General features: G+C 41.7%; 1 protein-coding gene across 3 annotated transcripts in view; it reads right to left on the bottom strand.

The window, feature by feature from the left end:
• Positions 1 to 15,057, bottom strand: part of KIF1B (kinesin family member 1B) — a 171,034-nt gene that overhangs the window by 27,613 nt on the left and 128,364 nt on the right. For all 3 annotated transcript variants that reach the window (NM_001365951.3, NM_015074.3, NM_001365952.1), the window contains 7 exons: positions 14,132 to 14,222; positions 11,823 to 11,941; positions 10,704 to 10,759; positions 8,038 to 8,146; positions 6,164 to 6,230; positions 5,258 to 5,342; positions 1,255 to 1,360 (listed from right to left, as the gene is read on the bottom strand). In NM_001365951.3, coding sequence (NP_001352880.1) covers positions 1,255 to 1,360; positions 5,258 to 5,342; positions 6,164 to 6,230; positions 8,038 to 8,146; positions 10,704 to 10,759; positions 11,823 to 11,941; positions 14,132 to 14,222 — 633 coding nt within the window. The remainder of the gene's footprint in view (positions 1 to 1,254; positions 1,361 to 5,257; positions 5,343 to 6,163; positions 6,231 to 8,037; positions 8,147 to 10,703; positions 10,760 to 11,822; positions 11,942 to 14,131; positions 14,223 to 15,057) is intronic.

Genomic DNA, 15,057 nt, shown 5'->3' with positions numbered 1-15,057 from the left:
GGGAAATTTACAATACATTTTTCATAGCTACAAAGAAAATGTGGTGGTAAAACCCGGCTGAACATTGGCAGAAAACAGAAAGCTATGCAGAATTACTGCTGACTTCAGGGAAATAGTATTGCTCGTGATTTTGCCCATGGATAGTCAAAGCACCCCTCTTTATTTCTGCCACTCCCCCTCCCCAGACATACATATGTACCCTCTCACTCCTTCCCTCTTTCTCCACAGCCCCTGCCAGCAAACAGAAGTTTGTTTCTTTTTTCTCTTTCCTATGGTAAACTATAATACAAGAAAACAACAGAAAGAAATTAATCCTGGTCCAAACCTTTCATTCCATTTCTGCCTATCGTCTTATTCCTTCCCTCCCTCCTCTCAACATGGATGTAAACAAGTTTTTCAGGAGCAGACTGAAGCACAGCAAAGTCCTGTGGTGGGAAGGCAGTGTGCTCAGCCCACATTAGAAGAGGCAGCCGCTCCTGTTTCCCAGCCCCTAGGATATAGAGACGGAGCCTCTGAGACAATGAGAACTCCCTTCCTGGGTGAGGTAAGAGGATCCCAGCTGGTTTAGTTCTAGTCTTACAAAGGAAAGCAGAATGGCTATGTACTTTACGAACTGTCTGTTATCACCTGATTATAAAAGATAATTTTAAGTGAAACATTTAAAATAAAAAACAAAGTAAAATCTATTATTTATGGCAGCCAATCTTGGTCATAAGAGTTCATATTATTTATCGCTTTTGTGCATAAATGAAAAACAAATACTAAGGATAATGGAGCCTATAGTCAGCAGCAGCAAAGACTTAACACAAGAGGCTTCATTTTATCTCAGAGGGCACATTTCCATGATACTTGGGGAGTGAGAGAAACCTTTCTCTCCACAGCAACCATTTCACAGGAAAAAATTTAATCTTGGCAATAATTAATTCGTACTTTTAAATCCTTGGGGAATATACTGTTTTCTTTCTCCAATTTTCATTTATCACTTGTTACATCTATTCAAACTTCACATGGGACAGGATCACTTCCATTCTCTAAGAGTAACTGATCACATACAAATATCTGCAATACTTTCTTTCTTTCTTTTTGGAGAGTACAGCAGGCAGGTGAAGAAATAAAGAGATTTTTGAAGCTAGAAGGGAGAAGGGAGTTAATTTCTTTGTCCGAACTGGGAGTCATTAATGAATAAGGCACCTAACGGTGTACCAATTAACGCCTGCAAGTGTGGACTTCTTCACACTGCTCTGGGTGTCCCACCTGCTAGAGTTGTGGGAAGACTTCAGGTACTTGGCAGAAATAATATTTAGGGAGAGGATGGCATCAACTGCAGCTTCATCCACCTCAGGCTTATTCCGAATACGACCTAAAAGAAAGGATAAAAAAAACAGAGCACGGACACATTTGAAAACAAAACATGAATTCATTAAGCCCAAAAGAGACTTTTAAATCTCTGTGTAAGTTCAGGAGCTGGAAGGGTCATTTGGTTACCTGTAGGGTCCTCCACGGTCTGACTCCATTACTTCCCACATTGAGTTAACTATGAAACCATATTGATTCTTTATTCAAAGAGTTTCCCACATTCATCCCAACTTTTATTCACAATATCATTGCCCTGATCACAAAAGGCCACCTCCTCTCTGGTCTGGAACCTGCAACAGCCATTTAACTGGTCTCCCTGCTATTCACACCTCCCCCGTTCCAATCCATTCCACTCTCACCTAACAGCAACTTCTGACCTGCTATTCACACCTCCCCGTTCCAATCCATTCCACTCTCACCTAACAGCAACTTCTGACCTGCTATTCACACCTCCCCCGTTCCAATCCATTCCACTCTCACCTAACAGCAACTTCTGACCTGCTATTCACACCTCCCCTGTTCCAATCCATTCCACTCTCACCTAACAGCAACTTCTGACCTGCTATTCACACCTCCCCGTTCCAATCCATTCCACTCTCACCTAACAGCAACTTCTGAAGCCACTGACTGACAGTTTCTTGTTTTTTTGTGTTTTTTTTTTTGAAACAATGTCTTGGTCTGTCTCCCAGGCTGGAGAGCAGTGGTTTGATCATAGCTCACTGCAGCCTTGAATTCCTGGGCTGAAGTGATCCTCCCACCTAAGCCACCTGAGTAACTGGGACTTTAGGCCTGCAGCACCACATCCAGCTATTTTATTTTATTTTATTTTTTTGTAGAGACGGGGCCCCACTATGTCGCTCAGGCTGGTCTCGAACTCCTGAGCTCAAACGATCCTCCTGCCTTGGCCTCCCAAAGTGCTGGGATTACAGGCATGAGCCACCATACCTGGCCATGCTGACTTTATTACACCCCTTTCTTGCTCAAAATCCTACACTCTGTTTTCAAGTTAACACTAGCGGATGCAGCATTGCATAGACGTTAAGGACTTGGCCTCCAGTGCTGGACTGCCTGGGTTCCAACTCCTACCACCTGTGAGGCTTTGAGCCTAAGGCTCAACCTCTCTGAGCCTCAGTTCCCTCATATGTCAAGCGAGAATAACAATTCCTTCCATATATGGTTGCTATGAGGATTAAACAAACTAGTATTTTTGGAGCATTCAGAAAAGCACCTGGCATGTGGTAAATACTACATCAGAGTTTGTTAATAAAACAAACTAAAAATATATCATAGGATCCTTCAGAGAAGCCATAGTAACTGCTGCCTCTGCATCCTCCCTCTCCTTCTCTGGTCAGAAAGCATCTCTTCTGTTTCGGTATTAGGGTTCCATATAAACATTATTTTGTCAAAGGACATTCAGTACTTTGTAAATAAAGTTAAAAAAAAAACTAAATTAAAAAAAGAAAAATTTATTATGAAAAATATTGAAAAGCTACTACCACTGCTGCCCCAGACAAGAGAGAACATAATCTCCCTTCCAACGATTCTTTTTTTTTTTTTTTTTGACAGGGTCTTGTTCTGTCATGCAGTGGCATGATCATGGTTCACTGCAGCCTCGACTTCTCAGGTTCAAGCAAGCTTCCAGCCTCAGCCTCCTGAGTAGTTGAGACTATAGGCATGAGCCACCACACCCAGCTTATTTGTAGAGAGACAGGGTTTTGCCATGTTGTCTAGGATAGTCTCAAACTCCTGAACTTAAGTGATCCGCCTGCCTTGGCCTCCCAAAGTGCTGGGATTACAGGCGTGAGCCACTGTGCCTGGCCCCAAGGTTCTTAATCTGGTCCAGAGAGACACAAGCACTCTGTGGACAGAATTCAGAGGGTCCTTGAGCTTGGATGGGGAAAAAAATTACATCTTTATTTTCACAAACCTTTAACTAAAAATTGGCATCTCCTTCAATCACAAAGGAAGGCAATAAACCACAGAAGAATTGGCCAGTACCCGTGACTCTGTCCCCAGTAGAAACCACAGATGTTTCCATGTGCAAAATATCTTATTTATTTATTTATATATTTTTTTGAGATGGAGTATTGCTCTGTTGCCCAGGCTGGAGTGCAGTGGCACAATCGTGGCTCACTGCAAGCTCCGCCTCCAGGTTCATGCCATTCTCCTGCCTCAGCCTCCCGAGCAGTTGGGACTACAGGCGCCCACCACCACGCCTGGCTAATTTTTTTGTATTTTTAGTAGAGACGGGGTTTCACCGTGTTAGCCAGGATGGTCTCGATCTCCTGACCTCGTGATCCGCCCATCTTGGCCTCCCAAAGTGCTGGGATTACAGGCATGAGCCACCACGCCCGGCCTATTTATTTATTTTTAAACAGAGTCTCACTCTGCTGTCTTGGCTCACTGCAACCTCTGTCTCCCAGGTTCAAATGATTCTCCTGTCTCAGCCTTCCGAGTACCTGGGACTACAGGCGCCCGCCACCACAACCAGCTAATTTTTGTATTTTTAGTAGAGACGGGGTTTCACCATGTTGGCCAGGATGGTCTCAATCTCTTGACCTTGTGATCCGCCCATCTCAGCCTCCTAAAGTGCTGGGATTACAGGCGTGAGCCACCGTGCCTGGACACAAGATATCTTTTTCATTGATCACTACTTGGAAATTATGGTAATTAGAATAACTGCTAAATCTTGTTATTTCATGCATCAGTAAAGAAGAGCTTAATGTTTTAACAACTGTATTTCAATATTATCGGTTTCCTTTGTAATCCTAAATACTTTATTTCTCACATTTGAAAACATAATTCTAAGGCTTCGTTACTGCCAAAGAGGTCCATGGCAACAAAAGTTCCAAACTCTTGCCTCGGACTGTCATTCTAAAGTTTACACTATCTAGCCAATACTCCTTAATTTACTTTCTCCACTCTGGCCATGGGGTTTCTTGTCATTTGCATGTTAGACATATTCCTGACTCTCTTACTCAAAATGCTTGTGTCTGGAAAAAAAAAAAAAACCCTCTAATTTTTCTTGAATCTATTCAGTCCTCCTGGCTTGTTTTCACTGTTAACTCTCTTAGCACAGATTTTCCTTTGTCCTCATTTTGGTATTTATTCATCAAAGCATTCTGCACATATATATGCTGTCTCCCTAACTAAAATGCAAGCTCACAATTAGCAGAGATTTTTCTTTTCTTTTTTTTTTTGAGACGGAGTCCCACTCTGTTGTCCAGGCTTGAATGCAGTGGTGCCATCTCAGCTCACTGCAACCTCCACCTCCCAAGTTCAAGCGATCCTCCCACCTCAGCCTCCCGAGTAGCCAAGACTACAGGTGCGTGCCACCATGCCCAGCTAATTTTCATATTTTTTTGTAGAGATGGGATTTTGCTACCTTGGCCAGGCACAAACCCCTGGGCTCAAGTAATCCACCCATCTCAGCCTCCAAAAGTGCTGGGATTACAGGCATGAGCCACCACACCCAGCCAGCAGAGATTTCTTTTATGCCCTCTCACAGACTCTACCACAGAACCATTCCCTGGTAACTGAGTTAGTTAGTTGGATAACATATCACTAATGACAGAGCGAAGAAACAGGAATACAGAGTTTCAAACTCAAGGCCTCTGCATCTCCATAGTCTGTGTTTCCGAATATGGTCTTCTACACATTCCATGTACCGCAAACAGGGAAGAATAACATCTCTAACAGGGCACAGTGCCTCACACTTGTGGTCCCAGCTACTCGGGAACCTGAGGCAGGAGGATTGCTTGAGCCCAGGAGTTTGAGGCTACAGGGAGCTATGATCTCATCACTGTACTCCAGCCTGGGTGACAGAGCAAGACCCTATCTCAAAAAAAAAAAAAATCTCTGTAAGTCCTGGTTCTATCCTTGGCTGATGAAACGTACTCACCTACCACCAGTTCACGAACATCTTTCCAATGGAGCTCGCTCCCCTTCTCATGGATAATGGTCACTGTGATCCTTCGCTGGATGCCCTAGGTAATGAAGCAGGGTTGCAATTTAGCTGAAGCAATCTATTATCTCCTCTCGTCTACTGTTTTCTGGCCTGTATGGCATGGCATGGGGGATGAGCAGGAAGGAGAGGTGTGGAAAGACGGAAAATGCTATCCACATTGTTATTCAAAACAAAGGGAGATGTGTCAGGGACTAAGGAACAGTCAGGTTCTGATATGGTTTTCTTTTCTTTTTTAAAAAATTCTTTTTCTCTATGGTTTTAAGAATAACCATAATCTGTCACAGGAGATTATGTGGCTGCATCCCAGCCCCTTGTATAATAAGTATTCAACCATGCCCTGATTGTATGTCCCAAATGTATGGTATCCCTAGCCCCTATGCCCACTTGGGTCTTAAGTACTTTTGAACACTGACTGAACCTACTTTTGATTTACCAAAAGCGGACCTATGTTTCATAACCAGATTTTTAGTCCATTGAAACCTTCATCCTCTATTCCTATTAAGAACTTCTGGTGTGAAAGCACAGAGCTTCCAAACATCACGAAATGAAAAGTATTAAAAGTGACATAGGAGCTACACAAATTAGAGTAATTGAATGAAACAAAATATTTTTCAAAATAGCTATTCTAAATACATATAAAAGCAAGGATAAATATAAGCCAAGGTCTGAGGAAGAAATATCTACAGACAGACACAGAAAAAAAAAAAAATGACAACAGGACAATGCCCCGCCCACCCTCTGAAATAGAGATGAAAACAGAGAATAAGAAAGAATTCCGTCTCTTATTCTAAATTCTTTTCAGTGTTCCCTCCGATGCCTGTTTTGGTCCCTCATTAGTACCTGATGAAGCAAAAATGTCCCCTGGCAAGGCAAGCCTGCTGTGTGGTCAACCACAGCTGGGATATACCTAAAAAATAGAAACGCAAAAGAAAAAACTAAGTGCTACTTCATCTGCAAGGCTTAGCCCCTGGTGGTCTTTGTTTTGATAAATTCTGATCCCATGTCTTTCTCACCCATGCTGGCATTTAATCATACAGTCATTTGCATTTACTCATCCTTTCCACACATCTATGTCTCAATCCTCTCTAGACTTGAGTAGTCAAAGGACAGTAACATCTTTTGGTTGCATCCAGCCCCTTGATATTAAGTATTCAATAAATAATGTAGAAGTGCAATGGCAATTGACAGGAGATAAGAAACACAGATAATTTCAGACTATAGTTTTTTTTAAGATTCAGAAAGCAATTAATTCAGTAGAAACAATTACTGTAACTACCTCTCCCTCATAATGCAACTTGTAATCACATCATAAGTCTGTCTATGAAAAGTCAAATTCCTCAAAGCACTGTCACTACTAACAACTACATACCACACTTAACACAGTATCCTACACATAGTAGGAACTTAATAAGTGTTTCCCAATGATGACCATGATGGTGGTTCTCAGAATTACATATAGGAGAACATTAGGATAACATTTACTCCTACCCTTTATATTAACTGATACAGCCCCTTGCCTCTGTCCTAAGAGTAAGATCTCTTTCATTTGTGTTTTTACAAAAGCATTTTAGAGATGATTATACACAACAATTACATTAATCACTTACTCTAACTCAGCTCATCGAGACAGAGTAAGCTGATGGTATCACTTTGATCTAGGACAGTGGTTCTCAACTGAGGATGCCCTCCCTGGGGGATATTTGGCAATGTCTGAAGACATTTTTGGTTGTCACAAATAGAGTGGAGCTGCTACTGGCATCTTGTGGGTAGGGGCCAAGGATGCTGCAAAATATTCTAAATGCACAGGACAGCCCCTCACAACAGAGAATTATCCAGCCCCAAATAGTGCTGAGGTTGAGAAACCCTGGTCTAGGAAAATATTCTGCCCTTCTATGTCCTCCTTGACATCAGTAATGTAAGTCTTTACCATATTCTATGCAATATGCTCCTTTTGCTTTACTACTAATAAAACCCATTATGATAAAACCCTTACAACAAGGTGCTGCTGGGCACAGTGGCTCACGCCTATAATCCCAGCACTTTGGGAGGCTGAGGCGGGTGGATCACCTGAGGTCGGGAGTTCGAGACCAGCCTGGCCAACATGGTGAAACCCTGCCTCTACTAAAAATACAAAAATTAGCCTGGCGTGGTGGCACGCACCTGTAATCCCAGCTACACAGGAGGCTGAGGCAGGAGAATCGCTTGAACCTGGGAGGCAGAGGTTGCAGTGAGCTGAGATCGCGCCATTGCACTCCAGCCTGGGCAACAGAGCAAGCCTCCATCTCAAAAAAAACAAAAAACAAAAAAAACCCCAAAAAACAACAAGATGCCTGTCTCCATGATTTTGCTGTTGCTAACGAGAAGGCAAATTATTATGCTCAACAGTCAGTTCTCTGATAAACATCTGATTCAAATACCAAGACCACCAAAAATCAATTCAAAACTGGAATTCGGCCAGGTGTGGTGGCTCATGCCTGTAATCTCAGCACTTTGGGAGGTCGAAGCAGGAGGACTGCTTGAGGCCAGGAGTGGTCAAGACCAACCTGGTCAACATAACAAGACTGCATCTCTATTAAAACAAAAACAAAAACAAAACCATCCCTGGAATTTGACAGTGACAATGATTCATGAACCCAAATACAAGAAGATTCAAAATTGCATTTCCTAATTTGAAACATTTTGCCTTATTTAAAAATTTATTAAGTTGGACTTACTCTCCTGTAGGCTCCAGTTCACTGATCTCAAACCAAACCAGGAGGTCATACTTGCTCATGCTCTGGCCAAGGCTGGTTTTGCTCATCGTGTTTAACTTGGTGGCTGGAACTTTTAAAAGTTTTTAGAGTATGTCAAAATCTGGTCCAAGACTACTCAGCAAAAATACAAGCTTCTCTAATGTCAGTCTTTAAAGACATACTTGGGAAAGGCAGCAAGAGTCAGAGGAAAGATTTCAATGCAAAAGACCCAGAGAAACACCAATATAAACTTTGTAAGTTATTAGTTATCTCTACATTCAGAGAACAAGGAAAATAAAGAAATCAGTATCTTTTTTCTCAACAAACTGTCTCTAATGATGAGAAAACAGCTTTTGTGTAGAATAAATGTGCTCATGAAACCTTCCAATTCCAGAATCTCAGATTGTGTGACACGTAAAGCATGGGACTAACGTGGGAGAGACAATGCTTGGAAAGCCTCACGTCACAGGGGCTCAATCAAAGCTGATGTCCTGAAGAAAAGACCCATCCTCCACCCCAGTGGTTCCCAAACCTCCCTGCACATAGGAGCACCTGGGGACCTTAAAGTCCAGGACACATCCCAGATCAATTAAATCACAATCTCTAAGGGAAAGACAAAGTTCTTCCTCCATGAGGGGTAAAGTTTCCCAGGTGATACCAATGTGAGGACAAAGTTGGAAACCAACTACTGGTATCATTTATAAATACAGGATTCTGTAAATGATCTTATGTCACACATTTTCTTCAGATTTAAATTCCATATGCTTTTTTTTCTTTTTTATGGCGTGATCTCGGCTCACTGCAACCTCTGCCCTCTGGGCTCAAACCATCCTCCCACCTCAGCTTCCTGAGTAGCTGAGACCAAAGGCGTGCACCACCGCGCCCGGCTAATTTTTGCATTTTTTTGTAGAGACAGGGTTTCGCCATGTTGCCCAGGCTGGTCTCTAACTCCTGAGCTCAAGCAATCTGTCCGACTCAGCCTCCCAAATGCTGGGATTACAGGTGCGAGCCACCATACCCGGCCAGATTTAAACTCCATATTCTTAACTGTACTGATGCTATGTGACTTTAGTTAAGCTGCTTAACCTCTGGGAGTCTGTCTCCTCATTTATAAACTGTAGACCCTAATATTTAGCCTACTATCTTGAAAAGCAATCATGAAGATCCACTAACATAATGTACATAAAGGAGCTTTATGAATCATTTAGCACTATTCACACGTGTACCCTATCAGCAGTATTCAGCCCAGCTGAGTTTCACATGAGTTGGTGATGCTAGTCAGAAAGAAAATAGGGTAAGTGATCCTGGCAGTCATCTAAGGGTCAGAAAGCAAAACCAGAAGTATTCTAACAAACCAACTACTAGTAAAATCTTCAAAATTAAAAATACTATTGCAAAGAATCCATAAAAACAAATGCAAAGGCCTCCCCCACTGCGATGGTGATGTGAAAGAGGCACATGTAGAGAAGCTGCTTCCCAAATCTCTAGGAAGAAAATGTGATACAACCTTGAAAATGTGCTGAGCTCTACATTCAGCTCAAGTTGCAAAGGGAAATGTCAGTGTTTCATATGCAGAGAGCCAGGCTTCAGGACAAGCGCCTGAGGATGGTTCTACATCTAAGGTGGAGCTAATTCAGCTACTAACCATCTCGTTTGGGTACCCTCTCGCTCTGGCAGCTGGGAACTGGCAGAAAGAGAAAAGGCGGCAATGGGTCAGCCTCATCCTGGAAGGTGGCAATAGCGGAGGATGCAAGCACACTGGCGTGCTCAGAAAATGTGTCCAACATATGCACATTCACATAGCCAGACACGAGAAACCGAATCAGCTCAATCTTTCTCTCATGGTCTGAAGGCAGATGAAGATGGGGAATACAGAGGGTGGAGAGTGAGCACAGGGTGGGGTGGGAATTTGGCGAATAGGCAATGAGGAAAAAGGACAGAAATAAAGAAAAATCAAAACAAGATCACTGAACATACAGAATAAATTTACTATGCAAAGAAATGCCTAGTCCCCTGACAGTTATGGGAAGTTACATGCAAAGCAGAAAGATTTAGGAACAGAGTGATTATCAAAATCTGCAAATAGAAGACCAGAGAGTTTGTAGATAAGGCCCCCTATTGTTTCTTACTTCTTGTCTTATTTTATTACTTTATTTTATTTTATTTTATATTGTTTTGAGACGGAGTTTCGCTCTTGTTGCCCAGGCTGGAGTGCAAAGGTGCAATCTCAGCTCACTGCAACCTCCACCTCCCCGGTTCAAGCGATTCTCCTACCTCAGCCTCCCAAGTAGCTGGGATTACAGGCGTGTGCCACCATGCCCGGCTAATTTTCTATTTTTAGTAGAGACGAGGGTTTCACCATGTTGGTCTGGCTGTTTTTGAACTCCTGACCTCAGGTGATCCACCTGCCTCGGCCTCCCAAAGTGCTGGGATTACAGGCATGAGCCACCGCGCCCAGCCTTTACTTCTTATTTTAAATCAGGAACTAGGAATTCTAGTTCCTACTAGATACATACAAGAGGAGCAGGAATACATGTGGATATATAGAAGAATAGGAATTCAAACATGACTTCTATTTGAAAAGTCATTCAGAATAAGACATGTATTCACAAAGAGATCATCATGCAAAAAGCGGAGCGAGTGCTCACCTGGCTTGGACAGTGGCATGGGTGGAGGGAAGAATCGGCGGCACGGCTGAGGCGGACTGCAAAGAAAGGAAGACAAAGATCAAGACTATAAAGAGTTATTTATTTTAGAAATTCTCCCCTTTGTGCTGGACTGCAAATTGAATTTCCTTCTCTTTAGGGGTTTCACAAGTAGGAGTGAGAATGTACGTAAAAGTTCTGTGACAGTACAGAAGGCAACAACATTTTATGTATAGCTTCTGAAAGCAGGGAAAAAGAGAGAAACTGTTTGACTTCCACGTGCCTATCTCAAGACATTCTATTTGCAGATTTGAAGTTCTGGATTCCAAGTTGGAGTTTTCCAACATTAACGTAAACAGAACTGGCACACAGACATTAAGATGAACGTAATTATTATTCCTCTTGCTGGTCATTACCATCGCTTTCTAATTCTCTTTGTGTGAATTTATTTAAAAGAAAAAAAACTTTTTGTAATGACTATTTGCAGTGTAGAAATCAATAAACCCTGTTTTTTCAAGAGAAAGAAAAAGACTACAAAGAGTTGGATGTTGGTATCAATAGCATGTTTTAATTCCCTTTAAGGAAGCAGACTTTTCCATTTTCAACTCTGGCATAATACCAGATAATAGAGATAATCCTAGATAGTGAAACAGGCTAAATCTCATTTAAAAAATGTCTCCCTCTAAGTCTTAGCTAATAAATAAAAAAATTCTTCTGCCAACACCAACACTCTGCCATCATCAGAAAGGCCCACTGTTGCTTTCCTCAGCAGTTGTGATGACTGTACTTAGAGCTTCTGTTTCATAAAGCTGTGGGCATTAGGAACAATTTTTAACAATTTTCATGTTATATTCCTATTACCTCAAATTTCTACCATATTCAAAGTCTCTTCCTACAAAAAGATGGTATTTGAGGTCACCTGGTCAAAATTTAATTTGCTCTATCTAAAATCAGTGATTAGGTGGCTATAAGATGATAGTGAAGTTTCTAAAGAGGAAACAGGGTAATATAGAATACTTATTTAGTTATCTTAATCCCTCAAAAGATTTCTTCCTTTCCAGCAATTGAGAAACTAAAAATCAAAACAATACCATCAAAAATGTTTGCTTATCTGGTCCAAACCTGTTAAGCTCCTGTCCTTGCAGATGAAGTGGGTGCTGCTGATAATGCCCAAAGACTTCAAATACAATAGGCTTGGTTTTGATGTAATCCACAAATGATTCAGTGATCTCCACTGCAATCTAAAGCCAAGCAAGATTAGGAAAAGATTACAAGAAAATACACATTTTTGCTTCAATCAGAACTTTAGTACGTATTTTGGGTTTTTTTTTTTTTTTTTGAGGCAAGGTCTTGCTCTGTAGCACGCAAACAAGGCTCATGCGGCCTCACCCTCCCGGGCTCAAGCAATCCTCCTGCCTCAGCCTCCGGAGTAGCTAGGACTACAGACATGCACCACCATGCCTGGCTAATTTAAAACAATTTTTTGTAGAGACAGTATCTCACTATGTTTCCCAGACTGGTCTTGAACTCATGTGCTGAACTGATCCTTCTGCCTCAGCTCCCAAAGTGCTGGATTACAGGCATGAGCCACTATGCCTGGCCCAATTTTACTGCTGCTGAGTGTCCAGTATCTGCTGGGTATTTTACTATGCAGGACTCTTGCAACAAAAAACAGGGGATCCCCTATGTTGTTTTTAATTCTAAAGTAACTTTTCCCAGCTTCAGGTATTCAAGATCTTCCATACTTTGCCTCAACTGATCTTGGCCCCTGTTGTCCTTCCCACACTTACTATTCTGGCTCACTCACTCACCTGCTGCTCCTTTCACCTGCTCTCTCCTCAGCTGTGCCAAGGACTGGCCCAGGCTGCAACCCTGCCTGGAAGGCCCTTCCAGCACATCCATGCATGTACTGACTATGGCCTATGTGCCAGGCACAATGCCAAGTTTGACACACCTTTTCTTGCTTATACTACATCCTTCAGGGAGCTTCCTATCCCCTTTCTCCACCCAACTATCCTCCCCAACAAAAAGTAACTTAAAATAGCTTTCCATTAATAGAAATAACTTTCCCTTTCTCCACTCCCACTGCATTTAGTGAATATTTTCTCATGTTCATCTTTGCATGACTGGTGTTTATGTATGCATTTTATTTCCCCTATCGTAATTCGAAGCTCACTGGGAGCATCTGAGATTCATCTGCATTCCCCAGTTGTCAGGCACAATCCTTGTGCACAGCAGCTGATCAAAGTTTATCAGATACATGCTTGCTTATATTTATACCAACATGAAAAAGAAGATGGCATATTTTGTGTTTGCTTGTTCCATCTTTGAAGTTCTCCTTTCCTCTCTTACTTTAGAGAGCAGACATGGTTAGCAAGAGAATGAGAGACAGTTTCATGTAGTAGTGAATATCCTGAATACCAGAGCTAAATTTCTCTGAGCTTAAGTCCTATCTCTGCCTCTTGTAACACTGATGAGTAACTTTATTTTTATTATTACTTTTTTATTTTTTTTGAGATGGGAGTCTCGCTTTCTTGCCCAGGCTGGAGTGCAGTGGCACAATCTCAACTCACTGCAACCCCCCCATCCTGGGTTCAAGCAATTCTCGTGTCTCAGATGGGATTTCACCATGTTGGCCAGGCTGGTCACAAACTCCTGACCTCAAGTGATCCACCTGCCTCGGCCTCCCAGAGTGCCGGGACAGGTATGAGCCACTGCGCCCAGCCTGATGAGTGACTTTAATTGCTCTATGCTTCAGTCATCTCAGCTAACACAGGGATTATCTTAATCTATGGTATAAAGGTAAAGATTAAATTACACAAAAACTCTCAGAACAGTGACTAACACAAAATAAACTCTCAGTGAATATTAGCTATTGTGATGAGGATAATGACTTTGGAATAGAGTTTGAATGAAATTTCACGTAAGAGAGGGAAGGGTCTGTTTTCTTACTCCACGTAGGAATACAGTTGTAAAGGGCATTAATGTGTTAATTATACTATCAGTTGCAAGGAAAACAGATCTAAATCTTAATTTAGCTACAGAAGGTATTTGATATTTTTTATGTTATTTGCAATCGAGCAACATAAGTATCTTAGGGTTTAAAGGACAATGCATTCACTTTAATAAAACTCTTATTAAGCATGCTTATTTTTCTAGGACAGAAACACTAAAACAACTCATTGCATTCAAACTGATGGAAGATTTTATTGGCAGACGAACCCACATTCACTAGGCCCACTGTAACACAGACAAGAAGGCTTGCTGCTCAGGCCGCTGTGGATGACCTCACCACTCTAGCCACGCCCTCTATTGTCTACTCTCCCCCTGCACAGCCAGTGACTTGTACCTCTTCTTATCACCCTTCCCGGGCTGAGAAAGCCAAGGTACCAGAAAAACATATGTTTGGCAAAAAGGTCCATGTCACTTACATTCTGCACATGATAAAAGGCCAGGGGACTTCCTCTGCCATTGTTTTTGAGGGGCTCCGTGGAGAATGCTTCATCATGGCGATGCAAAAAGCTTCATAAAAAAAATAAAAAGACTCGTGAACAATGCATTAAACGGTTTTATCAGAATCTCTTTCAAGAGCCCAATGTGGATCCTACAGAAAGAAGCATTCCACTTAAGCAGATTCTTTAAGTTATTTACTTTCCTTGTCAAGAACCTTTTCCATATTGCACAGAGGGCATTTTAGATTTTATTTCAAAAATGACTGAAAAATTAACTGACCCTGATCACTTAGCTATATGGAGGTATATGCAAGAATGCTTTAGAGAGAGTGAAGAAGTACATTCAATTAACTCCTCTTCCTTTGTAAAAGCTTTTTACTAAAAATAAAAACAATGTCATTTTGTACAGACAAAATTTAGCAGACTCAAGCTTCCACAGTTAGTGCGAGAGCCTGTGGATGGCATAGTTACATAAGAGTCTGTTGTGGATTCAAATGTCACCTCTTCCAGGCAGTCTTTCCTGACTTACCCTGGCAGCTTTGTGTTCCCACATTACTAGTAATGTTTTTTTCCTTAATAGCAATGATTTCACTGTAATAATGTATTTATATGCCTCTCTCCCCCAGACAGCAAGCGTTTTCCCACAGGTCTCGACACACAGAAGATACTCTGGAAAGATTTGTTAAAACAATGGGCTATATTTAGTTATTTTCACAGATAGTGAGATGTTATCGTTCTCTCTCTCTCTCTCCCTATTATTAGTCTGAAATAAAAAGAACTGCACAGTTAAAGAGGACCCAACACAAAGATTTACTGCCAGATAGAAAAATCCATCAGAAGGACACCCCTTCCATCAAGAAAAAATGGAGAAAAAGAAACTATTTTCAACTGGGGGGACAGACAGA

The sequence above is a fragment of the Homo sapiens genome, chromosome 1 (assembly GCF_000001405.40).
Source record: "Homo sapiens chromosome 1, GRCh38.p14 Primary Assembly".
Lineage (NCBI taxonomy): Eukaryota > Metazoa > Chordata > Mammalia > Primates > Hominidae > Homo > Homo sapiens.
This window is presented reverse-complemented; position numbering and strand designations above follow the sequence as displayed.